The following is a 26,369-nucleotide window of genomic DNA, read 5'->3' on the forward strand; positions in this document are numbered from 1 at the left end:
TTCTACTTTTCTCTATAGCCAAGTATTTTTCTTTCTCTAAGGGATGTCGTCCCCTAAAAAGACTGTTTCCAATAGTATCAAACGACTACCAATTAGTATTTTGTTGTAGCAAAATGAACTAGCAGCTGAGCAGCTAACTTGGGTCTCCCTGCAGCTTCATCAGTAGCTTTTTGTGGGGCCTTGGGCAAGTCATAGGTTTCTCTCTGGACCTTAGCTTTCTTCTCCATAAAGTTAAGGAACCTATCCTAGCAGGTTTCTAGAGTCACTTTCAGCATGATCCTTCTATATTTGTGTTCATTACTGGTTTGAAAAGGCCACGAGTCTCACTTAGAATGGCAGCTTCTTCTCACTCACCAAAGACATAGGCCTGGACATCAGCAAAACACTTCAGTAAATTGTAGTTCCCAACACACTTTTATGCCTAGTGTGTAACAGGGCTGGAAAACTGCCACAGAGACACTCACTACAGCCCTTAACTCATTAGGGGTCATTTAGAATGTCAGGTTTAAAAATCAGCTGTCCCCCCAGGCCCCTCCCCACCCAGTCAGCTCCCTAGCTAGCCTCATCTAGAGACTGCATTTCTCATTGATCTTAAAATAAAAAAGGAAATAAAATGAAAAGGACTTTGGCTCTAGTATGTGGAAACTCTTCCAAATGCCCTGGTCTTTGTGACCATGCAAAGGCTGGCTCTCTTGAGCATCATCACTCTCCGTGTGAGTTGATCCTCTAGCTCACATTCTCTGCCCTGAGAATAATGATGAGAGAGATCCTCGGGAAGGCCCACTGCCTTTCCAATCTACTTCCAAAAGGGAGCCAGAATCCAAGCCCCCAAAGGGGACGTCCCACACCCTGCATCCTCCACCTTTTCAGTCATCCTTCTCACCCTTCTCTGGCAACAGAGAGTTCAGTGCCCTCAAGTGTGGGCTGCCTTCCAGTTCAAAGTAGTCACATGCCATTATTTATTTATTTATTTATTTATTTATTTATTATTATTATTATTATTTGAGATGGAGTCTTGCCCTGTCGCCTAGGCTGGAGTGCAGTGGCGCAATCTTGGCTCACTGCAATCTCTGCCTCCTGGGTTCAAGCAGTTCTCCTGCCTCAGCCTCCTGAGTGGCTGGGATGAGAGGCACCCTGCACCATACCCGGCTACTTTTTATATTTTTAGTAGAGATGAGATTTCGCCATGGTGGCCAGGTTGGTCTCTAACTCCTGACTTTAGGTGATCCTCCCACCTCAGCCTCCCAAAGTGCTGGGATTACAGGCATGAGCCACCGTGCCTGGCCTATAATTTAAATGTAGATAGCAAAAGATGAGATTCTGAGGGCCGGGCACAGTGGCTCACACCTGTAATCCCAGTACTTTGGGAGGCTGCGGCAGGTGGATCACGAGGTCCGGAGATTGAGACCATCCTGGTTAACACGGTGAAACTCTGTCTCTACTAAAAATACAAAAAATTAGCCTGGCGTGGTGGTGGGCGCCTGTAGTCCCAGCTACTTGGGAGTCTGGGGCAGGAGAATGGCGTGAACCTGGGAGGCGGAGCTTGCAGTGAGCTGAGGTTGCACCATTGCACTCCAGCCTGGGTGACAGAGCGAGACTCCATCTCAAAAAAAAAAAAAAAAAAAAAAAAGAAAAGAAAAAAGATGGGATTCTGAGTAAACTTGGGATAAGGCGTTTAAATAAATTCATGCCAACTCATAGCCATTTCATAGCATTCTTTAGAGGGTTTGGCGTTCATTGCCCAAAGAATCTCATTAATATTTGTGCTATTAGTGTGGGGCAGTTAATGAGTATCAAAATGGTTGCTTCACACACAGCTATTAGCCAGAGAGGTTTAGTTGCTTACCTGTGGTCACACAGCAAGTGAGTGATGAGCCAGGATTAGGAACAATCCAGGTGGTAATGAAACTGAAATGTTTTGGCTCTGACAGCATAGTTCAGCAAAAGGATGCGGGTCCTAGGACAGGGAGTGCAGCTTAGCCTTTGAGTCCCATTGTTATCCCAGGAGAACTGTATTTTCTACTTTCCTGAATTCTATTATGACAGGTTTTAAAAAATGATTTCAAATTTATGTGTATGCACGTGCATGAAAATATGTGGCTGCTCACAGATACGTGTATAGAAGATGAAAGAGAAAAATGGACAACTTATAATTACAGATATTTTCATTCATCTGGTATCCAGATGATCTCCCTTGATTCTGACAGTTTTGACAAATCAGTTTATTAAAATTGTAAATGTAACCCAGAGCTGTTTAGTACAGTACTAGGCAGAAGGTGCTTTCTCCTCACGTTACATTTTGCTGTTGCATTATTAGAAGTAAATACAGCTTATACTGAAAGGACAAAACAGCCAGCCAGTCTTCTATGAGAAAGATGTCACTTGCCACATACAGTCCCAGTTGGTTTCACTGTCCCGAGACCCTAAGGATGTTTTCGTAGAGCTTTGACCTTGATGAAGCACAGAGAAGTGTCTGGTCCCCATGCCCGCCCTCCTCCCCTTTAACTCCTCGCCTGCCCCTTCAACTTCAGTTTTCTAAAGAGAAAACTTGCTCCCTAAGCTCCCAGAAGGCATTACTCAGGTGACATTTGGGGAAGGAAATGATCAGTAGGGCAAGTTTTAATTTAGGGCATTTAAACCCATTGTGCTTAAGTACCAGATTTCATTGCAGACTCTTTAGAAAAAATGTATGGCATCTTGACGCAGTGTTCCTGGCCAAAAAAGAAAAGAAAAGAAAAGAAAAATGTATGGCAGTAAGTAATGCCATGCGAGGGCAAGCTGGGAACAGTGAACACTCAAACAATGAGAGAAGAAATGTACAAAATGTGGAACTCTCTGCATTAGCTGAAAATAGGGAAAAGAATACCTTTTTTTCCCTCATCACCTACCACAGAAAGTTCAGAGAAGTTTTTATTTCATATCTGATTAGCTTCAATTGACAATGTTTTCTACACTCTGATTTTGTTCCAGCAGCTTTCCTCCTCCCTCCCTCTTCTAGCCTCTGCCCAGGAATCATTTGTAGGCAAACACATATATTTGTGACAGGACATCTTCATCTTAGTGCCACAGACCACTGGCAATCTGGCCAAGCCTGCAGACCCTTTCTCAGAATATTTTTAAATAAATAAAGTGTGTAGGAACATAATTACCAAAATATTTTAAATGCCCACACATTTATGATATAGTAATATATGTACTTATTTTTAACATATTAACTAAACAGAATTCATCACTGCTGTACTTTCAAAGTCAAAATGTGTGTGCACCAGGGGTCAGCAAACTGCAGCCCACAGACTGTTTTGTAAATAAAGTTTTATCGGAACATAGCCATGCTCACTCATGTACATATTGTCCATACCTGCTTTCACACTACAGCAGCAGAATTGAATAGCTGGCCTCATGTCATATGGCCCTCAGAGTCTAAAATATTTGCCATCTGGCCCCTTTCAGAAAACGTTTCCCAATCCCTGGTGTAAATTGCAACAGTAGTAATGTGCAATGAAAAGACTGATTTCGGCCGGGCACGGTGACTCACGCCTGTAATCCCAGCACTTTGGGAGGCCGAGGCGGGTGGATCACGAGGTCAGGAGTTCGAGACCAGCCGGGCCAACATACTGAAACCCCATCTCTGCTGGAAAAAAATACAAAAAATTAGCTGGGCGTGGTGGCAGGTGCCTGTAATCCCAGCTACTGAGGAGGCTGGGTCAGGAGAATCGCTTGAACCCGGGAGGTGGAGGTTGCAATGAGCCGAGATTGCACCATTGCAGCCGGATGACAGTGAGAGACTCTGTCTCAAAAAAACAAAACAAAAGACTGATTTCTCTTGGTTACAGCCACAGGTTGCTAACTACTGTTTTCTGCCTACATTATAATTGATATAAATGCAAAATTTCAGTTAGAAGTTAACAAAAACATAGGAGTGATTTTTTTCACAGTCCAAATTCATGGACCACCTGAATTCTATTCATAGATCTCATGGAGGCCTGTGGACCCCAGGTTAGTAATCACCAAATGGGATTACAGTTAAAAGAGCCTTTCAGCACAAATAGATACTTTCTTTACAGTGTAAAGAATCTGCACCCTTTCCGCCCCCTCACAAATGTCTGCATATTTTCATATCAATGAAAAAGACATCAGATCATCTCTAGAATTAGGTGAAGCACGGCCACTTTGAACGCTTATTCCCATTCTGCAGAGACCCAGTGGCTTGCTGAGGAAAGGCTAGTTCTGTCAGCTAGTCCTAAGAAAAAGTTGAGATTCTCTACACATACAGTCAGCTCATTACCTCCTCCCTGTCCCACTCTTGCCATGCCAGGAGAAAGAGCCAAAAACTCCCCCCTCCCCCGACTCCCAGGGTTCTCCTGTTCTCTCTGGTGTATTACTTGACTTTCCTCATCTTGTCTCTTAATGTCACATCAGAATGTACCACGGAATCTGACTTTGCCATTTGTGTGGCTATGATGTCTTATTCTCCAGAGACGACTTCAAGTATTCAGCAATAACTCATGTCCACTTAATGTGAAAATTGGTACCATCTAATAGAATCTTCAACATGCTAACCACACTATTCCAATAATGAAATGCAAATTTTCCTGCCTTTTTACTATGGTCATTTTTAGATTCTTGAGGAATGAAATATCCTCTTTATTATGAATTAAGAACTGGAAATTAAGATGTGGAGTATTGTTACACTATTTTTAGATAGTCTCCTTATCTGAAGTCCTAGGCTATCTTGTTTAATACTGACAATATAATTACAAGGTGCATATCATTATTACTCCCATTTTCTTGCTAAGGAAACTAAGATTTAGGTTACATTGATGAGTGACAGAATTCTAGAATTCATATTTTTTTTTCAGCTTTGAAAGAACAGACAACCCCACTTTATCTGATCCTTCATTTACAATATCAGCTACGGCCTCTGGATGTGTTTTTATCTAAGAGAATCCTACAGTAGTTCAGACTTTGTAGAGAAAGGCAGTGAGACGGAACAGTTCTGGCCATAGGGAGGATGTAGGGTCTAGATCACTTTCTAAATTCCTTTTCCACGAAATACGGGCTTTGAGAGAGAAGACCATCTATCTCTAAGGTCCCTTCCAGTGCCATCTGACCATCCATGGCTCTAGGATATTCAAAGCAAAAGATAGTTGAGGCAGCTCAACTTGTGATGAGTTCCCCTGTCTGCCTTTCAGACTGGCCATGGAAGGGAAAGGCCTGTCCGACAACAGGACCTCTGAGATGGACCCGAAGCACTTCAGCCCTTGTCCTGTGTGCTGAGCAGCTCTGCTGATACAGCAAAGCTGGGGGATAGTATTGATTTTCCAGATAATATTAGCATGTCATCTCATTGAGACAGAATGAAGAGGATTTATGGGGAGCCAGAGCCGCACACTGCTGCAGGAGGCCCAGTCTGTGGGCATCTTCTGAGCTGCCTAAAACAAGAATAAAATAGTCCCTCATCTATGAGCGTGGGGAAGAATGTAAACAAGCACCCGTGTTTGGGGATACAGCAGCGGCCTGGAACTTCTGAACGGCCAGAGAAACATCCAGTGGGTGAGAAGGAACACATGGGCTTCACCGAGCAATTAGTGCTGTAGGTTTAATAGAGTTTGAGTACTGATCTAGGTTCAGCTCCATCGCCACTCAGCTTCCGGGATGGTGATTTGAACTGACAGTATTACCACCTGTTGTTCATTGGACTTTGGCACTTTCTCCTCCTGCTGTCATTTCTCATTACTGCCCTTGACTTCTTTCTAGAAGAGTGGGTACAGTGGGGAGTGACCAGCCCCCAGGAAGAGGACACAGGTACACGGCAGTGTGCACCCTCTCTTCTTTTGCCTATTTCTGGCTCTGCATGGCTTGAGTCAGAGTTGATATTTCCCCATCCCTTTTGTTCCCTTACAGCAAGCACTTACCGTGCTGTACTGTGGTTTTCTGCTTACATTTCTGACCTCTTTCTGGACTGTGAAGTCCTGAAAAGCAGAGGCTGCAAATGCATCTCTGTGACCCCAGCACCAAGTCTTGTGCCTGGCACTTAGTAGGTGTTCAGCAGCATTTGTTGGAGAGATAGATGAAGAGTAGGCATATTGTTCCTAGTCTAACCCATCCCAATCATCCTCCACTCCCAGCAGTGCCATTTGTCATTATTTTCTGAATCCCAGTCTGTAACACCACCATCCACCCTATCAACAAAACTAGAAATGGGGGAATCATCCTTACACTGTCTCCTTCCTCACTTCACACACACCAGTCACCAGTTCCTGCTGATTGTTTCTCTCTAAATAGTTCTCAAATTTGCTCTTTATCCTTTTCATCCCTATTACCACCCCCAAGTTCATTGCCTCACTGTTGTAATTTAATTATCTGGTCTTCCCACCTTTACTTTGGCCTCCACTCACCTGTCCTGTGACACCACTGCTCTGGCCATGTCACTACCCATCTAAAGTTGTTGAGAGGCTGCATTTGCCCACAGTAAGAAACTCAAGCTTCTTAGCAAGGCCTGCAAAACCTTTCCTTGGTCAGGCTTCTGCCTGCCCCTGTATCCACAGCTCTGACCACTTGCTGCCTTGAGTTTTATGTTCCAGTGCCACCAGATTTCTTGTAGTTACCCATATTAGTCATATACTATTTCGTGCCTAGAGTGTCCTTCTTGCTCTTGTTTTTTCCATTCCCATTCATACTCATTGAGACTCAGCACGTAACGTCACCTCATCTGGGAAGCCTCGTCTAACCTTATTTCCCCCATGAAAGGAAGGAGGGAGGAAAGAGGAAGGGTTAAGGTACATCTCCTTTGGACTTTCATAGAGCTCTGTACACACCTCAATGTCCCTGACACAGGTAGTCACCTCCATAGTGAATTGAACATCCAACATGTCTTTGCAGTTCCCTAATACCCTTGAATTCTATTTTCCTTCCCAATCCTTTTTTTTTTTTTGAGGCGGAGTTTCGCTCTTGTCGCCCAGGTTGGAGTGCAATGACACAATCTCAGCTCATTGCAACCTCCACCTCCCAGGTTCAAGGGATTCTTCTGCCTCAGCCTCCTGAGTAGCTGGGATTACAGGCGTGCACCACCACGCCCAGCTAATTTTTTTTGTATTATTAGTAGAGATGGAGTTTCACCATGTTGGCCAGGCTGGTCTTTAATTCCTGACCTCAGGTGATCCGCCCGCCTCGGCCTCCCAATGTGCTGGGATTATAGGCATGAGCCACCATGCCTGGCCCCCAGTCCTTTTCTAAAGTGTTTATTCATATTGGGATAGAACTAACAAGTAAATGTGACCTTTTTTAGGAGGATTACCATTTGTATAGGGCTCTATCCCTCTGAAGATAGAATACTGGCCTTAGTCAATGAATGAAGCAACATCTCTTGGGGTTGCCAGATGACCCCGGTGCATAGTCAATCAGCCAAACCTCTGATTCAGCTGCTTAGTTGGGTTAACAGTTTCCTTTCCACTAGTATGGTGTGAGGAGTGGGAAAGGCAGCAGAGTACCACTCACAGCCTGCCCAGTGAGCCCAAAGCAGTAGTGAGCCCAGTCAGAAGAAAAGCCTGGCATACTAGAAAGAGCATGGCCTTTGAAAGATTGGTCAGCCTGGGTTCAAATCCACTGTTTGCCTCTTCACTGTGTGAACTTGAGCAAGTTCATTAAGCTCTGTCCTCATCTGTTAAATGTGCATAATCGTTTACACTGAATTGTGGTAAGGATTAAATGAGGTCATATATGTTGTCTGCTCAGAAGAGCCACTAGCTCATGGAAAGTGACCAATAATGATGGCTGTGGCTGGGTGCAGTGGCTCATGCCTGTAATCCCAGCACTCTGGGAGGCTGAGGCGGGCGGATCACCTGAGGTCAGGAGTTTGAGAGCAGCCTGGGCAACATGGTGAAACCCCGTCTCTACTAAAAATACAAAAATTAGCTGGGTGTGGTAGCGTGCGGCTGTAATCCCAGCTACTCAGGAGGCTGAGGCATGAGAATCACTTGAACCTGGTAGGTGGAGGATGCAGTGAGCTGAGATCATGCCACTGCACTCCAGCCTGGGCAACAGAGCAAGACTCCATCTCAAATAATAATAATAATGGCTGCATTTGTTGTTGTTTCCCCTGTCTTGATCCCCTGGTGGATGGTCATTGTGCAGTAGAAACAAGAGATAATCCTGTGTGCTTCCTTCTTGTTTCACTGAATTTGGCCCCAAGTCTACCTGAATGCCCTTAACCAGAGTTCTGGAACACTTCTGACTTAGGAAGCCTCAAACACCCTAGTATGTTTCCAGTTTTCCAACAGTTGAGAAAAACATGATAAAGCCGCAAATTCTATATGTGGAAAAGCAGTGCAGTGTGAAGAATGGTGTACACCTGAGTCATTTGTTGGCAACAGTGTGATCTTGGGTACATTCCTTTGAATCTCTGCATCTGAGCTTTAAAGATCCCATGAGCTATTTGTATTTCTTCATCAACACTTCGCTTACAAATTAAAGTACTTTGGTACTATAATGGTGATTTGGTTATTACTATTTATTACCTAGACTGCAGGCTTAAGTATAGCAGTTAGAGAATAGCACACTTTGTTTTGTTTTTAAATGAAAAAACAATTCCCCTTAAGAAGTGGAAAGTACTCAATAGCACCAAATATTAATTTTTAAATATAATTCAAGAAGCCTGGCTGAGCACACCAAGCTTTTATGCCTGTAATCCCAGCACTTTGGGAGGCTGAGGTGGGAGGATCGCATTAATGCAAGAGTTCAAGACAAGTCTCGGCAATGTGAAGAAACCCAGTCTCTACACAAAGTAATAAATTAGCTGGGCATGGTGGTACATGCTTAGAGTAGATCCTACTCGGGAGGCTGAGGCAGGAGGATCGCTTGAGCCCAGGAGCTCAAGGCTGCGGTGAGCTGTGTGAGCTGTGTGAGCTGTGATTGCACCACTGCACTCCAGCATGGGTGACAGAGTGAGACTCTGTCTCAAAAGAAAAAAAAACAAAGCTCTTTTCTTTAAAATATTTCTTTGAAACTAAGCCTAGAGGTACTATTACCTTTGGATCACTATTATTAATCATTCCTTAATAGAACTTTGGATTTTTCCCCAGGCTTAAGTACACTGGTTATTTCTAATTCTTTGTGATTTTCCTGGCTTCAGATCTTTCCAGGAACAGCTCTGGGTCTCTTGGCCAATTTGGCATCAGGGCTCTGGGCCTTTGCCCCCAGCTTCTGTGATTCTCTCAAAGGTCTTTCAGTATTGATCAGGGAGTCATTCCCACTGAGTCCTTCAAGTTTTCTTTTACTGCTTCCCCACAAACCGTAGAATGAGAAAAGGATGATTGAAGTGAAGAGCCTAGCCTAGTGCCGGCCCAAGTTGGGACTTGCTGAACATTGGTTTCCAGCCCTGTGGCCCCAGAATACCCCACAGTTACACCTCAGCTGTGGGTTCCTCTGGGACTGTTCCCCAGAAGGAGATTTTTCTGCCAGTTTTAATTTACTTTTTGGGGAACGAAAAAAACTACCTGTAATTTTTCCTGTCTACTTTTACTAGAGTTTACTAGAGGTTTCCTCAAGTTCCTTGAGCATAATCTCAGAGAAGAATCTAACCCATGTTTTCTTTTTCCCATTGCATTTACTACAGTTACAACGATAATAAATGTTGAATTAACTTTCACTAGCTTTTAACCAACATGTAAGCACTCCCCTTTAAACTGTGTCTTCTGTGTTTGGTGTCTACCTGTGTAAAATAGGAATAATCCCAATCTTCTCAATGAGATTTTACCAAAATAAATTAGCGTTCATAAATAAAAGGAGCTATATAAATCTGAGAAACTGTAGAGAGGACTCTAACTAATTTTATGTCCAAGTGCTCTAAATAAAATTACTTTTTCCCAAGTGTTCTAGAAAGGGTTACATTCCTGAGTAGGGTCTTAATGGCCAGTTCAAGAAATAATCAAGTTAAGTGTATTTAATTCATACTTTTAATTCATTTTTTTGTAATACCTTCTGTTAGACACTTCCATATGACCTGTGTCAAATGCACAGCAAAACATCTGATATATGGTTACAGATCTAACACAAATAATGTTACGTGAGCAACCCCAAACAGTATACACCTTGACAATGTGGAGACTCAAGATTTTCCAAGCACTCATTAAATTGAGCAGAGAAGTAATCTATTTCATCCAATAACCTTTCGTTTTATGTATTTAGCAAATCTTTATCAGAGAGAGCTATATGTGGACCTCCTAAAAAGGGACCTGGGAATTCGGGTCAGAAACTAGACCAGCCAGGCGTTGGAGTTCACGCATCCCAGCACTGTAAACAACAGCATGGGCACAACTGGCCAAGTGTGTGGGGACTCCTGGTGTTGTTGTTTATGGCGTCTGGCAAATATTTCTACCCAAGCCTTCAGCTAGTTTACAGCATTTCATTTTACAGCCCATCATGATGATAGTAACCAACCCCAGAAAAACATCAACAAGCATTAGCAGCCATAGTGTTGGAAGATGAATGTGACCCCAGCGACCTCCATTCCACCCCCCAACCCCCATCCCACTCCCACCCCATCCCCCTCACCGCCCCCTCTAGTGTTCAGTGAATTTCTGCAGCTAAAGTGGTTACCATGGGTCTTGGGTCAAAGGAGGATATTTGGAGGAATTTCTCTAAACACATGCTTACAAATGTTGAGAAATAGCACTCTAAAAAAGCAGGAGTCATACACAGACCCCAGCTCTTCTCGGTGAGTAAGACAAAAGGCAGCGTGATCTATAAATATGGTAAAGTGCCTTGAAACGATGAGTCTGCAGAGGCAGGGGGGTGGGGGTAGTTAAGGGAAGGCAGGAGGGAGACAACAATTACATATTAAGTTGCATTGGTTAAGAACAGAAAAATATAACTTGGCATGAGTTCCCATACTGGCCTTTTAGAACGGATTGGTCTGTAACACCATACTAAGTCTGTTTTCTATCAGTGATTCCTAGCCAGCTTATTAAACAGATTTATACAATGAAAGAATCTCATAACAGAAACATTCACCTTCTTTATTACTTGGCATTATTTATGGTTTGAGTTTTTTCAGCTACTTTTTTATGCACTGGAATCTGCCAACATTATACTTACAAAGTTTATGTACCAAAGTATAAGTAGGTTGGGAGAATATTATATGTGTCTCCTCTCTCCAGCCATGTGGCCTCCCCCAGCAGAGGCTTTGAGGACCTATCTGTCCCCTCCTCTGAGTGTCTTCAGCATGGAATCCTCTTTCTTTCAGGAGTCCGTGATTCTTGACTGAAACAAGGGTTAGTTCCCTACCTCCATGCCCGTCAAGGAGTAATACTTTTTTCAGCCTTGGGTTTAGTGACAGGGAAAAAAGAACGTTAGCTCATGTGAGGATACGTATAAGGGAATTAGATAACTCTCTACGTGATTTGCAAACACCTCAAAATTGTCAAGATGGAAAAGAGACCCAGAGTCCCCTTTCGTCCTCCCCATTCATTCTAGGGTAATAAGGGCTGGTGGAGAGGCGGTGTCCATTTTTTGACGGAACTGGTATGGGCAGATGAGCATGCCTGAGTACTGAACACTACCGTGTCACTCCCCATGTTGCCATTCTGTAGAAGAGGAAGCAGGAAGCCACCGACAGGGGCATAACTGTGGACCTAAAGTGGACATCAGAGGGGTCCCGGCAATGCGGCCCTGACCCTTCCCTGCCTCACTTGCCCTCTACTTCCCAGCTTCACCATAGCTGGGAAGAATATTTTGATTTGTTTGTTTTCCCTGAGAAAGAACAGTTTCTATCTCGAGTATTGCCTCCTTTCCTGAAGCGTGTTCTCCGTCCCAAGGAAAACACACACATCCAGAAGGCACTGTGAGCAAAGCCTGGAACTGGAGAGATGACCCAGGGTCTTTGGGATTGCGGAACAGCTGCTGTGGAAAAGTAGTGGCCTGTTTATGGGTTGAGGAGGCAGTACAGGGTGACAAGAGGGAGCCCGAGAGCCCCCCATGAATCTGTCTGCACCCTTGTGAGAAGAAGCCCATGAAGTCAAATGACAGCTTGTTTAAGGAAGCCATGAACTAGCAAATGTAGTTAAAAGATGAAGGGGGAAAATGAAGGGAAACGCTTATGCTTAAAGCAGTTTTCCTTTGAAAAACTACAGCATTTAGGCTACCAGGTTGTGTTTCCTTAATAGGAAGCCATATCCCAGCCATGTGGCAAGAATTAGTCATTGCCTTCCATATGGGTAGTAATAATAAATGTAGGAATTTAGAGGCTAATGAATCAGTGGGAGTTGCTATGGGTTTGCTGGGTGAATGAATCAAAGGCGATCCCTTCTTTCTCCCTGCTTCCATCTTTCCGGTCCTTTCCTCCTGCTATGCTTTTATGCGTATGAGCTTTCATCTCTGGCCCACTAACCCCAAGGATCCTTTGAATAATCTGGAAGGAGACCATCTAAAGAACTCTCTGGCCAGGTACAGTGGCTCACGCCTGTAATCCCAGCACTCTGGGAGGCCACAGCACGTGGATCACCTGAGGTCAGGAGTTTGAGACCAGCCTGGCCAACATGGAGAAACCCCGTCTCTACTAAAAATACAAAAATTAGCCAGGTGTGGTAGTGCATGCCTGTAATCCCAGTTACCTGGGAGGCTGAGGCAGGAGAATCCCTTGAACCCAAGAGGCGGAGGTTGCAGTGAGCCGAGATCGTGCCATTGCACTCTAGCCTGGGCGACAGAGTGAGACTCTGTCTCAAAAAAAAAAAAAAAAGAAAGAAAGAAAAAATGAACTCTCAAATCTGTCTCTAGCCTGCATGCGAATCATCGCCCAGAAACTAATCTGTCCCCCTGAGCCCAAGTATTAAGCCGAGCTATGAACCAAAAATTAGAGGTATGAGAGACATGAAGGGGGGCAGGCCTCTGTGCCCCGCCCTCCAAGAGCTCACCATCTAGTGCTAGAGACTGATGTGTAAACAGATCATCATAGTGATAAAAACCGTGATAGAAAAAGGATGACCAGTTGTTTTGGCCTGTGTGTGTAGGGGAGGCTCTGGGAGGCAGGTAGAATGCCGATGAGGATCTTCTATGACATGAGTGGCTGTTGAGCTCAGGAGATAAGAATTTGGAGCTGGAGCAGTTCACTTCCATTTTAAATCCCAGCCCTGTCTCTTAATAGTTGTGTCACTTTGAGCAAGTTACTTACCTCTCTGTGCCTCGGTTTTTTCATGTGTAAAATAGTATACCTACATCCTCGGGTTCCTGTGAGAATTCAGTGAGTTAATATGTGTGGAACACTTAAAATACTGCCTGCTCCTAAAATTACTGCTTGGCAGTAAATGCTATGTAGATGTTACTTTAAAATTATTACTATTTTCACATATCTTATGTGAATGTGCCTAAATGTGATATGTATATATTTTTCCTTTTAAAAATTTGAGATCATACTATACAGAGAGTCCAGCTTACTTTCCATATCAGCACATGTAGATGTACCTTAAGACATTAATTTAAAACCAACTTTCTTTTGAAAAACTTTCCAGCCTCATCAGACATTGGGGATTCTATGTGAGGGCACCTCTCCAAGATTGGATCTTGCTGTGGTTGATGGAGTTACATCCTTCACAGCACGGTCCAAATTAGAGATCTCCAGTCAGGCTGTTTGGTCTGTGAAACATTTGGATATTTGTTTTTTAAATCCATATTAGGACATGTTATTCAGTGTTTGGAGAAATTAGTATGTACTAATTTCTAGGCTGCTTGAAGAACTTGGGGGGTAAATTGTTGCTCTTAAATCCCCTTAAAATATAGGGCAGAGGCCAGGCGCGGTGGCTCACGCCTGTAATCCCAGCACTTTGGGAGGCCGAGGCGGGCAGATAACGAGGTCAGGAGATCGAGACCATCCTGGCCAACACAGTGAAACCCTGTCTCTACTAAAAATACAAAAAATTAGCTGGGCATGGTGGCGGGCGCCTGTAGTCCCAGCTACTCAGGAGGCTGAGGCAGGAGAATCTCTTGAACCTGGGAGGCGGAGGTTGCAGTGGGTTGAGATCACGCTACTGCACTCCAGCCTGGGTGACAGAGCGAGACTCCATCTCAAAAAAAAGCATATATATATATGACAGAAAGGATCTTGGCACCCTGTGTTGAAAAGATACGTTTTTAAGTCAAATGTGAGGTAAGTAGGTCATGCCACATCTCAACCTCATCAGGCTGTACTTCTGCAGATTGTTGTGGCTTCTGGGTGTCCTATTAGAAACAAAACAGGAGGGGAGAATCGTTTGATCTCTTGCTCCTAAAATGTGGGCCCTAGGCCGTCAGTAAGAGGTACTGGCCCTTGCCGAGTCCCAGTGTTCTCCCTCATTCACCCCCTAGGTGACAGTGGATCCAACTCTCCATAAGCAAGTCTGGGATTCTGCATGTTGTGCTTATTTGCTCTCTGTGGGAGGGTCTGTTAGACAGGTCTCTCCAAGGAAGGGGAAGGGAGCAAGGAGTGGGGGAGGGTGTCAGCTCAGAGGGGCTAGCAAGTCCAGTAGATGCCAGTTCTCCCGAAAGACAGGTCCCCTGTGTGATTCACATCTGGTACTGAAGTGGCTAGAGCAGTTGGCACACCGCAAATTGACACTGACCTTGGCCATGCTGTTGGGGTAATTGGACTTTCAGGATGGACTCTCCGAACAATCTTGCCACTGTGGCTGGCACAAACAGGCTTTTCTTTAACAGCAGACGTTCATGTCTTCTTGCTCCAACTTTTTTTTCTTGAACAAACATATGTATTGTGGCCAATGCAAGGAAAATCCCACTCACCATTTTGATCTGAGTTGCTTCTGTCCTGGAACAATAGTCTAGTGTACCAGGGGCCCTCGGGATGCTGGTTTCCATGCCCTGGTCTAGTTTTATGAATCTCCTTGGAAGACCCTAAAGGCCAGGAAGCCATCGGTATTTCTGCAGGGCCTCCTACCACCATCGGGGACATCAGTGGCTCTGTATCTGATTGTCAGAGCGTGAGCTTCAGCAGTAGCCTCGGGGTCAGGACTGGTTACAACCAAAGAGCTTTCTAAGTGCCTGCCCTTTCTCCCACAAGATGGCCTCTTCACAACTTAAGTGGGCATAACCGAAGACTTGCATTCCCCTTTGAGCATCCACCTCACTCAGTTAGAAGAAATGTGTCTCCAAGCACTGCCAGCCTGTGAATAAGCACTTCCCAAGTGCCAGGTACAAAGTTAGACACTTCCCATCTTTCACCTCGTTGATCGCCTCAAAATCCCGTGAGGTTTTTAATCACTGACTCAGTAGCATTGATTGAGAAATCTACTCCGTGTTAGGCTTAGACTACATAGTGATGACCAAAACAGTCTTTGGATTCATGGCAATTACTGCCAGGTAGAGAAAGCGAATGCTGTTATTTTGCTCTAAGAGGAAACTAAGGTTCAAAGAACCAATACTTTCTCAATGCCATATAACTGGTAAAGGGTGTGGCCACGATTACACCACCATGATTCTACTCCAAAGACTGTCTTCCCTCCACCATGCCCTACTACCTTCCTATAGGAAGCTTAATCTGCGGTTCTACTTAAAATATGAGGAAACATCTGGAATATTAGTTTTCAACCACATTTCAGACACAGAAAGTGGAGCCTAAGGAATAGCCCAGTTGGCTCCTCTCTGAGAGCGGGTAAGAGTAGAAAAGAATTGCTGATCTCAAGCATTTTGTTACCAGAATAACCCCACAGGAGAGGCCTGGCTGAACGGGGATTTGTGTGGGCCAGACAATGTAGGGGATTTATTTCCAAGGCTGGAGGACAGAGCTTGGACTCGGGTCCAGCTCGGCGTCCTCCCTCGGGTCCTGCTCGCTGAAGAGGTACAGCATCTGGAGGAGGACTTTCCGGCCAGGGTACAGCTCCTCTAGGCTGAGGCAGTTAACGATTAAACAAGAAGCAGCCTTTGGCTACAAAGCTAATGGTTTGGGTTCCAGGGCACAGGATAAAAATATACAACTGGAAAGGCAAGCTCCCAATTAAGTGGAAGAGCTCAAGCAAGAGATGTTTCAATGCCGCGGAGCCAGTGACCACACGTGGGCCTGCTGTCTCCTCCACCAGCCCCACTCGCCCGGCCCCATACTTAGTGCTGGCTCCAGAGTCTCGTGGGGGAAGCCGGCTGGCAGCACACAGGCCATTCCTCTTTTCCATTCAAAGAAAATCTTACTTGCCTTCTGCCCAACAATTTATCTTGCTTGGCATCTTAGGATAGTAGAATGTCAGAACTGGAAGGGCCTTAGGGATCATCTAGCCTAGTCCAGCTCCCTGGTTTGATGCTTTAGAAACCGAGGCACACACTGGGGAAGTGACTTGAGCAGAGTCACCTTGTCAGTTCGTGGCAGGGAGGAGATTCACGTTTTGATCTTGTAATGTCCGCATTCTCTTCTCCCTTTGTACTAAGCTGGCACCATTAGCAGCCTGCCATTTGCACCTCTTCCCTTTGCTCCCACAAACCTAAAAGCCCTCGGTCCTTCTCCTCTTTTACAGGAAAAGATACTGAGGCAGGGAGTGTAAACAGTGCCCACAGAGCTGACAAGTACAGATGCCAGAAAGGGAACCGCAGAATCCCGCCCAGCAGGCCTGGGCCTTCACCATCTGACCGCATTCCCTCTCTAAGAACATGTTGTGGGAGAACTGAATTTGGCCTCCTTTGAGCTCTAAGCCTGCAACAGCCCTCCTAATGACTCTACAGTTCCTGGCTTCCTCTTGCCACTGACTTTCCCCTCCACCGCTGCCTGGGACAACCTTACAGCTACAGTGACTTTGAGTCTTGCCAAGACAAGCCCAATAGTTACTTTCAGACTCAAGTGCTTGCCAAGCCTGAAATAGTAATTGCCTGAAGGGTTCCAAAAAGCTGGGCTTTATCTGCAGCAGAGACTTTAGTAAATCAAAACACAGGTCTTATCTCCCTATTCTCTCCCCTCTGTTGTGTGGTCTCCTAAATGAAAAATGTTACCTAATTGCCTAAAACAGCTGGCTTGATGTTTAATTACTTCAGCTTGCTAACCTGATATTCTGGACCAATAAACTATACACAGGGAGTGGATAATGCTCTTTACAGATCGGACTTGTCCAGGTTTCCTTTGTGAGAAATGTTGATTTCAGCCACCAGAGGGAATTCCAAATTTGAATGCTCTTAGCAGTCACCGCGCTTGTCTGATGTTGGAACTCCTCTTCACCCATCCGAGGAACAGTGTGCCTGGAAAATGCCTTGAATCCTCTCCCCAGCATTCCAGGGGCAGTCTCCTCCACACGCCACACTGCTCAGCCTACACTCCCTTTTCTTTTTCTTTTTTTCGCGAGACAGATTCTCGCTCTGTCACCTAGGCTGGAGTGCAGTGGCGTGATCTCGGCTCACTGCAGCCTCCGCCTCCAGGTTAAAGCAATTCTCGTGTCTCAGCCTCCCAAGTAGCTGGGATTATAGGCGCCCACCACCACACCCGGCTAATTTTTGTATTTTTAGTAGAGACAGGGTTTCACCATGTTGGCCTGGATGGATGGTCTCAAACTCCTGACCTCAGGTGATCCGGCCGCCTCAGCCTCCCAAAGTGCTGGGATTACAGGTGTGAGCCACCGCGCCCAGCCAACGCACTCCTGTTCTGAGACACGGGAGGGCATGCAGAGCAGTCTCGGAGCGGACGCTAGCTGGCAGCGGTGCCATTGCTTTCGCCTCAGGCTTCCTAGAGCAAAGAAGCCCATGGAAGAGGTTGCACAGCGTCGCTGGTTAATGGCAAAGCCCAGGTATGGGCCAGTGAACCCCAATGATGCTGGGGTGCCTCTTCCTGTCCCCAAGGACTCTACAGCCTCAGCCTCACCCATCGATGCTTCCCCATGTGGGTCCTGGAATGTGACCAGGCTGACTGACCCCCCGTTTCATGCCCCACGCCTTTGCTGGTACTGGTCCCTGAGATGTCCCCTGACATGCCCCTCACCCAGCACCTCTGCCCTCCCATCTGCCTCCACATGCCGCTGCGTCCCCTCCACGGCTCCCCTGCAGTAGCACACCTCTGCACAGCTTTCCTCTTTACTCCTAGCCAGGCTCAGAGGGACCCACAGCTGACATCTTAAAGTCACCTCTATTGTCCACCTACCTACTTCTCTATCTCACTGAACCTCTTTAGGACCAGGATTTTCCCTTTTCATGTGTGTTTTCCAGTGTCTAGGATAGTGACCATCTATAGCAGGTGCTGGCCAGGCGTGGTGGCTCACACCTTTGATCCCAGCATTTTGGGAAGTCGAGGCAGGTGGATCACCTGAGGTCAGGAGTTCGAAACCAGCCTGGCCAACATGGCGAAACCCCCATCTCTACTAAAAATTACAAAATTAGCCAGGCATGGTGGTGCATGCCTGTGATCCCAGCTACTCAGGAGGCTGTGGCAGGAGAATCACCTGAGTCCAGGAGGTGGAGGCTGCAGTGAGCCGGGATCACGCCACTGCACTCCAGCCTGGGTGATAGAGTGAGACTCCATCTCAATAATAATAATATTAATAGTAATATAGCAGGTACTTAGTAAATGTGTGCTGAATGTGGGAGACGTCTTTTTTAAGGAAAGCCTAAGATGTCATTCTTAGAGCAGCAGAAGAGATGATGTTCATGCCCCATGCCTTTGTTGGTACTGGTCCCTGAGATGTCCCCGGACATGCCCCTCACCCAGCACCTCTGCCCTCCTATTTGCCTCCACATGCCGCCGCGTCCCTTCCACAGCTCCCCTGCAGTAGCACCCCTCTGCACAGCTTTCCTCTTCGCTGCTAGGCAGACTCAGAGGGGCCTGCAGCTGGTATCTGATAAAATAAAGGAAAGGTTAGAGGGAGGGAGAGAGGGAAGGAGAAGGAGGATAAAATAAAAGGAAAAGAAGAGGTATGAATTCTTTGGAAAAGAAATCCATGCCCTCGGAATGATGTGGCTCCTTCCTTTTTTAGTCAAACATCTGCTCAACTGTATGTGCTGTGCTAGATTCCTCGGGGTCATGTACAATAATTCCTGCCATGTAGGTTTATTAAATTAACAGTTGCAATTTATGTTTAGCGGTTTCCCCACTAAGGAATTCCTCGTGTATTTGATCGATTTGTGCAAGAGGCTAACTCCAGCCATTGCCAGCCCTTCTGTAAAATGGCTACTATATGATCCAGAATTCCCTCTCACCTCAGACACTGATGGTACTATTAGAGTTCGGGAGGCTTCAACAGTTCTGAGATAGGTGTAGCATATACAAAAATTCCGTTCACTGCTTTGTTTTCTTAAAAAAGTTTAGGGTTCTAAAGAGTAGTGTCTTCTATCCAAATTTAGTATACTTATATATTATATCCATCATATTATATTTAGCTCTTATGCCCTAGGTATTTGATCAATTTGAGCATTTCATTGCCAAGCTTTTAAGAGACTCCTGCTCCACGTCTTCTTGCTGTCCTCACTAGCTTGAGACAAAGTAGAAAGGCCAGAGAGAGGGGACTCCTCCAGAGCCCACCCAGGACACACAATATACAGTATGATAGAATAAAACAATGTAAAGGCATGCTTCTTAAATAACAGGTCATATGCTTTAATTATTTCATCTACTGGCAGTGTATTGCCTTTACTGGGAAACAAGCCTTTCCCACACACCTGCTTTGTAGGGCTGGGCTGAGTCAAGCCGGGAGAACCAGACAGTTCCTGGTGTTTGGGGCCTGGACCAGGAAAATGCAGCTCATGGCAACATGGAGGGCTTCATTGACGGTGAGGTGAGGTCACTCTAGGAGAGGGCTCGGCGTAGAGACCTGGGTCAGTGGGGTAGTAGCACCATCAGGGGCAACTGGCAGTGAGGCCTCAATAGCACCTTGAGAATTCAGCGAGACAAGACCGATTTGGGTGGGGTGGGAGAGTAGTAGTTGGCAAGGTAAGTAGGGCACAGTTGTTCCTAAGAACTAAAGCCCATCAAGGCAAGGGCCCAATACCCAGATTGGGGAACTTGACCTCAGGGATAGGACAGAAGCCTAGTAATTAGAGCAGAGACACGGTGTCAGAGCCAGCCAAGGGCCCTGCCATGGGAGGCCTGATGTGGAATCTCCTCCCTTTTAGCCACCTGAGGGCAGACTTGAACAGAGGTCCCTGGTGAGGTCTGTGGGTGGGGGTCCAGGCAGAGCCTGAACGAATGCCATACGCAAGCTGTTCTGGCAGGCGTAACGCGTAGGACCAACAGTGAAAGCACAGCAAGAACAGGGTTTGTGCTGCAGGTGTCCAGGCTGTGCAGGAAGCAGGGCCAGAGGCCGCCTCTCCTGCTAGAGCTACATGCCGCTCCTCGGCTCCTCCCCGCCACCATCACACCAGGAGTCAGGGCCCTGGGAGGCGACTAGAACACACCAAAAAAGGATGGCTAGGACTATTTCTCTGCAAGGTGGAATCAGCTCTTCATTTAAGATATAAGCTGTGGCCCAAAGTTACTGAGGGTTCTACAGGTGACGTCCATCTAGGCAGGAATAGAAGTTCCAAAATTAACTGACTTTTCTCAGTTGGAAACTTTCTTCTCAGGCTCCAGAATCTGCAGTGTCCTGTCTGCACTCCTTGGTGGCGATGGAGCAGCAGCCCTCTCCTGTCTTCCCTGCCTACTGTTAGAACCAAATGTAGTCTTTCTTGAAGACGGCACCATCTCCCTCTCCCAGTGACATCAGCAGCCCCTCTTCCCCCTCCCCCTAATTGACAAATGTGGGCATTTCCAAGTGTCTTAATGGCATTAACAAGGGACACACCGCTTAATCACAGGTGGAACTGCCAACAGATGACGGGTTATTTCCCGTGTTTCTCCCCACCCTGCAGTGAGGCAGCAGCCTTGTGTTGGGGTTTCTGAAGAGCACTCCTGCTCGGAGGACATGTGCTATTTCCAGCCAGAGTTGTCCACCTGCAACTTTCTGCTAGGGTTAGCAGTTTCATCTCCCATTATTAAGAGTCCAGCTGGCGTGTCTTTGAAGTTGGTCCCATCATGTTAAATGTTAACTGTAATTTCTCTTGGCCCTTGCTGGAGAGTGCTTTCCTTCCCGTTGGTATGATAATAGCCGCAGCTATATTGGCCATGTGCTAGCTGACCACCTCAGCAATTGCTTTCACTCCCGGAGTGACATAGAAGGAGCTTTGTACTGTGCATCGTGAAACTTGGGGTTTGACCTGGTTCTGCCAGGAAGCCATGTGATCTTGAGCAAGCTCATTCTCTTTTCTGATCCTCATTTTTCTGCTCTGTACAATTCTGGGTAAGGGCTAGAGGATTTCTAAAGCCCTTCCACTTCCAAATCTGTGATTCCAAGATTGGGAGAATGCACAGTTACTCGCAACTCCTTTTTCTCCCTCTACCCCGGGCCTACACCCCTCGCTACAGTGCTTCTCCACATGCTGATCCCAGTAGGTAGCCAGGGTCAGAGAATACTAACAATATGTAGAGAGCTCAGGATCATTCTGACCCTTTGAACTTGAAATCCTCAGAGAGCTTTCTATTCTAATAAAAGGGCATAATCTTGGTGATATGACACCCCCTACATTAAACTCCATTATATTAAGGAAACCTTAGAACTCGGATGTACAATCTAGCTTGATAATTTACAATTCTGCTGGGATTAGTATGAGGAATAATTATATCTATTTATTCCACTGTCAGAATGTTGACTCTAGAATTTCATATTGTCTCTGTCACTGAAGATTATAATTAAATAATATGTCGAATGTATTGATCATATTTTTATACATTTGCTTGATATGCTATAGAGGCTTTTTTTTTTTCAATATATCACGAGATTAAATTCAAAAGTTTGCCAGGCCATCTAGGTCTGTTTAAGAGATTTTTTTTTTCCTGAATAAACCACAATTTTTTGATGGCTTGTCATTTTGACATCAACTAAAGTAATTTATTTACTCCTTAGTGCAGAACTGTATCTCTTTTAGCCTTTAGTCAGACTCAGTAGCTATCATGACATTAGAATAAGAAGTAGTATGTGTCTTTGAGGGTAGGCTTTAAATTTCCTTTGTGCATAAACTCACAATTTTCATAGAATAGTCTTTTTTCTTTTTCTTTCTTTCTTCTTCTTCTTTTTTTTATTTTTTATTTTTTTTTTTTGAGATAGAGTCTTGCTCTGTCACCCAGGCTGGAGTGTAGTGGCACAGTCTCGGCTCACTGCAACCTCTGCCTCCTGGGTTCAAGCATTCTCCTACCTCAGCCTCCCGAGCAGCTGGGATTACAGGCTCGTGCCGCCACACCCAGCTAATTTTTCTATTTTTAGTAGAGACAGGGTTTTGCTATGTTTGCCAGGCTGGTCTCGAAGTCCTGCCCTCAGGTGATCCTCCCGCCTCGGCCTCCCAAAGTGCTGGGATTACAGGTGTGAGCCACGGCACCTGGCCAGAATAGTCTTTTTTCTATGCATTTATTATGAGAACTTTTCCAGTGGAATTTGAACTCAAGTCTCTTTTACTCCAAAGCCCAGTTTTTCCTTCTGCATCAGATGGTCCATTCCTAGACAGTGGCACTATGAACCAAAAGACCTGGGTTCCTCACTCATCTCTTGGACTCTTAGCTAAGGAATATATGGTGAAAGAATATATTCAACTGAAGGCCAGGCGCCGTGGCTCACGCCTGTAATCCCAGCACTTTGGAAGGTAGAGGCGGACAGATTACGAGGTCAGGAGATCGAGACCATCCTAGCTAACACGGTGAAACCCCATCTCTACTAAAAATACAAAAAAATTAGCCAGGTGTGGTGGCGGGCGCCTGTACCTGCTTGGGAGGCTGAGGCAGGAGAACGGCATGAACCCGGGAGGCGGAGCTTGCAGTGAGCCGAGATTGCGCCACTGCACTCCAGCCTGGGCGACAGAGCGAGACTCTGTCTCAAAAAAAAAAAAAAAGAATACATTCAACTACAAATTTTCTCAGCCTATTTCTCTTTTGCTTGAGTCACAAAACATTCACCTACTTTACCCAGAGGGTATAATTAAACCTTTTCTAATACTTGCTTTGGATGTATGTTTCATATATATTCTTAAGTAGTGTAGAGGGTTTCTTCAGTCTGCCCGAAACACATGTAATCAGCTCTTCAGTCACAGTAATAATATAGCACGTGTGTAATGTTTTACAAAGGGCTTTCATATACATTATCTCAGATGAGCATTAAAGCATGCTGTGATATAGGCAAGGATTATTACTATTAGTTCATTTAATGGATTCTTTTTAAAAAGACTCAGAGAATTTAAGATTTTCCATAACATCCAGCTAAGAAATAATAAAGCTGAGACTAGAACTCATGTCTTCTGAATCCTTAATCTAGGGTCTTTTGGCCTTCTTTTTTTTTCTAATGAGATTTACAAACATAACTAAAAATATATCTCCAGCTTCCCTTACCTCTTCATTTGTTTAAGGCAGATTCTTCATTTTGCTGTAACATCCCATCCTCTGAATAGATATGGCATGAAATAAAGTGGTAGCACCTTTTTAACCCAAGTAAGGACAGAGCGTTAGCAAAAGAAGAAAGATCCTGATTATATTTGACTGAGAGACTCGCATTCCTTCTACCCCACCTCCCATCTCCCTTCACCATTCATACTGTGGCTTCTTGGGGAAGCTCATGACCTGTTTCAAAGAGCTTGATTGTAGTCCTGGGCCATGAGGAAATGCATGAGCAAAAGCAGCAATGGTGAGTGGCTGATGACCTCAAGAAGAGGCCATTTGATGTCGGGCGGTAAGAGGCTGTGGTCAGGAAGCACTTTCCTCCCTGGGCCATCTGGATGCCCCTGCAGGCCGCCAGGCTGCTTGTGCCCTTATCCCTTCACCCTCAGGGAACCTTGCTTTGTTGACTGACAGTTGGGTTGGCATTTGGTCTTTATCATCAGGGATTCTTCACAATAGTGCAAGCCCTAGGAAGGCGAGCCAGCAAATCGTTCTAGTCTCTGAGAACAACGCTGACCTAGTGCTCTCCAATCTGGCCATGCTTCTGCTGGGAAATGAGGGGATAGTGGGGAGAACCCTGGAGGGCTGGATTTTAATCCTTGTAGTCTGTTTGAACTTGGGCAAGTTATTGATCTCTGAGCTTCAGCTTAGTTCCTTTTTAAGTAAATTGTGGATACTAACACCTATCCCGTTTTTTGTTTGTTTGTTTGTTTGTTTTTTTTGAGACGGAGTTTCCCTCTTGTTGCCCAGGCTGGAGTGCAGTGGCACAATCTCAGCTCACCGCAACTTCCGCCTCCCAGGTTCAAGCAATTCTCCTGCCTCAGCCTCCCGAGTAGCTGGGATTACAGGCATGCACCACCACGCCTGGCTACTTTTTGTATTTTTAGTAGAGACAGGGTTTCTCCATGTTGGTCAGGCTGGTCTCGAACTCCCAACCTCAGGTGATCTGCCTGCCTCAGCCTCCCAAAGTGCTGAGATTACAGGTGTGAGCCACCACACCCGGCCCCACTTATTTCCTCAGATTAGTATTGGGAGGCGTGAGTGACCTCATGTGTAAAGGTGCTTTGCTCAAATGCAGGGGACCTGCTCTGAAGGAAGGGGCTAGGCTCTGGGAGACTGTTTTAGGGGACCTGTCAAACTGAGCAGTTTTTAAGATCAGAAAGAATTGTTTTCTCCCCTCACCCTTGGTGAGGACCAGCATTGCCTGCCAGGGTTACACCCATCCCTCCAAGCCTTCCGCCCTCCTCTAAGAAGTGAGATTGTAACTCAGCCACTATTGGGCTGTGACATTTCTTCGCCTCTGAGGCACAGCCAAGAACATGGCCTCACTCTCCCTCCCACCCCTCTTTCCTTTTTCCTCCCTTTCTCCTGCCTTCTCTTCATTTCAAACAAGTGAGTTGTGTTAGTTGGTTTTTTAATGAGGTTTTTCCAGCCTCTTGTTTTTTTGTCCTTGACAATAAAGAACTCCCAGTTACCCAAAGCTGAAAATAAAATTTGGCAGAAGTAAGCCAAAAGTATAGTCTCATTGGTGTTGATATTTTTAAGCCTCTCTTGAGAGAGAGAGACAGAGAGAGAGAGAGAGAGAGAGAGAGAGAGAGAGACAGAGAGAGAGAGAGAGAGAGAGAGACAGAGAGAGAGAGAGAGAGAGAGAGGTGGTGGGGGGTCCTCTGGGAGACAGGGGCAAATCGTCATGGAATAAGAATCTGTTTGAGCACCCTGGGGTGAGGACTTTATATCTTTTTCTGAAAACAAGGCGCCTTCCTTTTTTTTTAAAGGCGTGTTGTGGCTATTTTGATGCCTTTTGAAAGTGCCACAGTTAATTTGATTGAGCTGCTAAGCAGTTGGTTTAAAAAAAAAATGAAAGAAAAAGGAGAATGGTCACATGGATTTAGCATCACACGGGGAATTCGCTGTAACCCAGCCATCTTTTAGGCAGCTGATGACCACGGGCCAGATTGTTCATTTCACAAAGGGGAGGCTTTTAAAAATGAGAAGACTTTTGTCTAGAGCCCAAACTTCCCCAGGGGGAAGGACTCATTTATAACCCGTTCTGATTATTCTTCTCCTCTGAAATCTCACTGGTTGAATATGAATTTATGTGGAGCACTCAGCTACAACATGGAAATAAGTAGTGCAGTGAGCAGTTAGCATAAGGGAGTTCCAGCCCCGGGTTCTAGTCTCAGCTTTGACCCTCCCTGGTAAGCTGTATAATCACAGGAGTGGCCCTGAACGGACTTAGGATTTGGTTTTCTACTCTGTGAACTGAAGCTAATTTCTCCTACCTGGGAGGATTGATATGGAAGAGAAAAGTTGTTGATAATGTAAAAATGCTTTGAGAAATATCTTAGCTGTTCTCAAAATTATAAACTCGGGAGTGTGGAGGGGGTTGGTGAATTTGGGGAGAAATTGGTGACCAAGGGTCTCCAGTTCCTTCCTCCATATGGCATCTCTGTCAAAAGTTGAGCCTCTGTTTCCTTAATAGGCCACTTCCCTCCAAGGATTCAGGGACCATTCATCACCGTGGTGCCTAGTCCCCAGGAGGTCAGTGGCCTGCTGCGGTGCTCAGCTGCTGGTAAGTGATCCAGCAGAAGCAGGCAGCCCTGGCTTATCCATGGCCCCCTGGCCCCTGTGTGGGTTCCTTGGCTCCGTGTTTCTCGTCTTTCCCAGACGCTTCTTCCCTTCTTGTTTGCACATTCTTCCTGGAGGAAAATGATAGCTCATTGTCAAAGGTTGGGCGGGAGACGAGGTAAGAACTGTTAGTGTCTGTGAGATGTTTGGGGATTTCCAGCTGGAATCCTCACACTTCTTTGGCTGGAGCCGCCTTCCTCTGTGTTCTCAGTGTGCTCTTGTAACCCTCTGCTAGATCACTTAGCACATGGGACATACTGGGACTCTTCCCATCAGGCTGCAAACTCCTCCAGAGGCAGGGACCCCATCCTTCTGATTCTCTGTATCCCCAGTGCCAGACATATGCTAA

General features: G+C 45.6%; 1 protein-coding gene across 8 annotated transcripts in view, besides 1 other annotated feature; it reads left to right on the forward strand.

Moving 5' to 3' along the window:
* BCAS3 (BCAS3 microtubule associated cell migration factor) overlaps positions 1-26,369 on the forward strand; it is a 714,981-nt gene that overhangs the window by 619,986 nt on the left and 68,626 nt on the right. The window lies entirely within an intron of this gene.
* Positions 17,140-17,641: an enhancer, noted in NCBI's record as "H3K4me1 hESC enhancer chr17:59392337-59392838 (GRCh37/hg19 assembly coordinates)". NCBI's record gives its function as "activates a minimal SCP1, AML or CMV promoter by ChIP-STARR-seq in naive H9 embryonic stem cells {active_cell/tissue: H9 hESC(naive)}" and the evidence as "EXISTENCE:reporter gene assay evidence [ECO:0000049][PMID:30033119]".

The sequence above is a fragment of the Homo sapiens genome, chromosome 17, assembly GCF_000001405.40.
Source record: "Homo sapiens chromosome 17, GRCh38.p14 Primary Assembly".
NCBI lineage: Eukaryota > Metazoa > Chordata > Mammalia > Primates > Hominidae > Homo > Homo sapiens.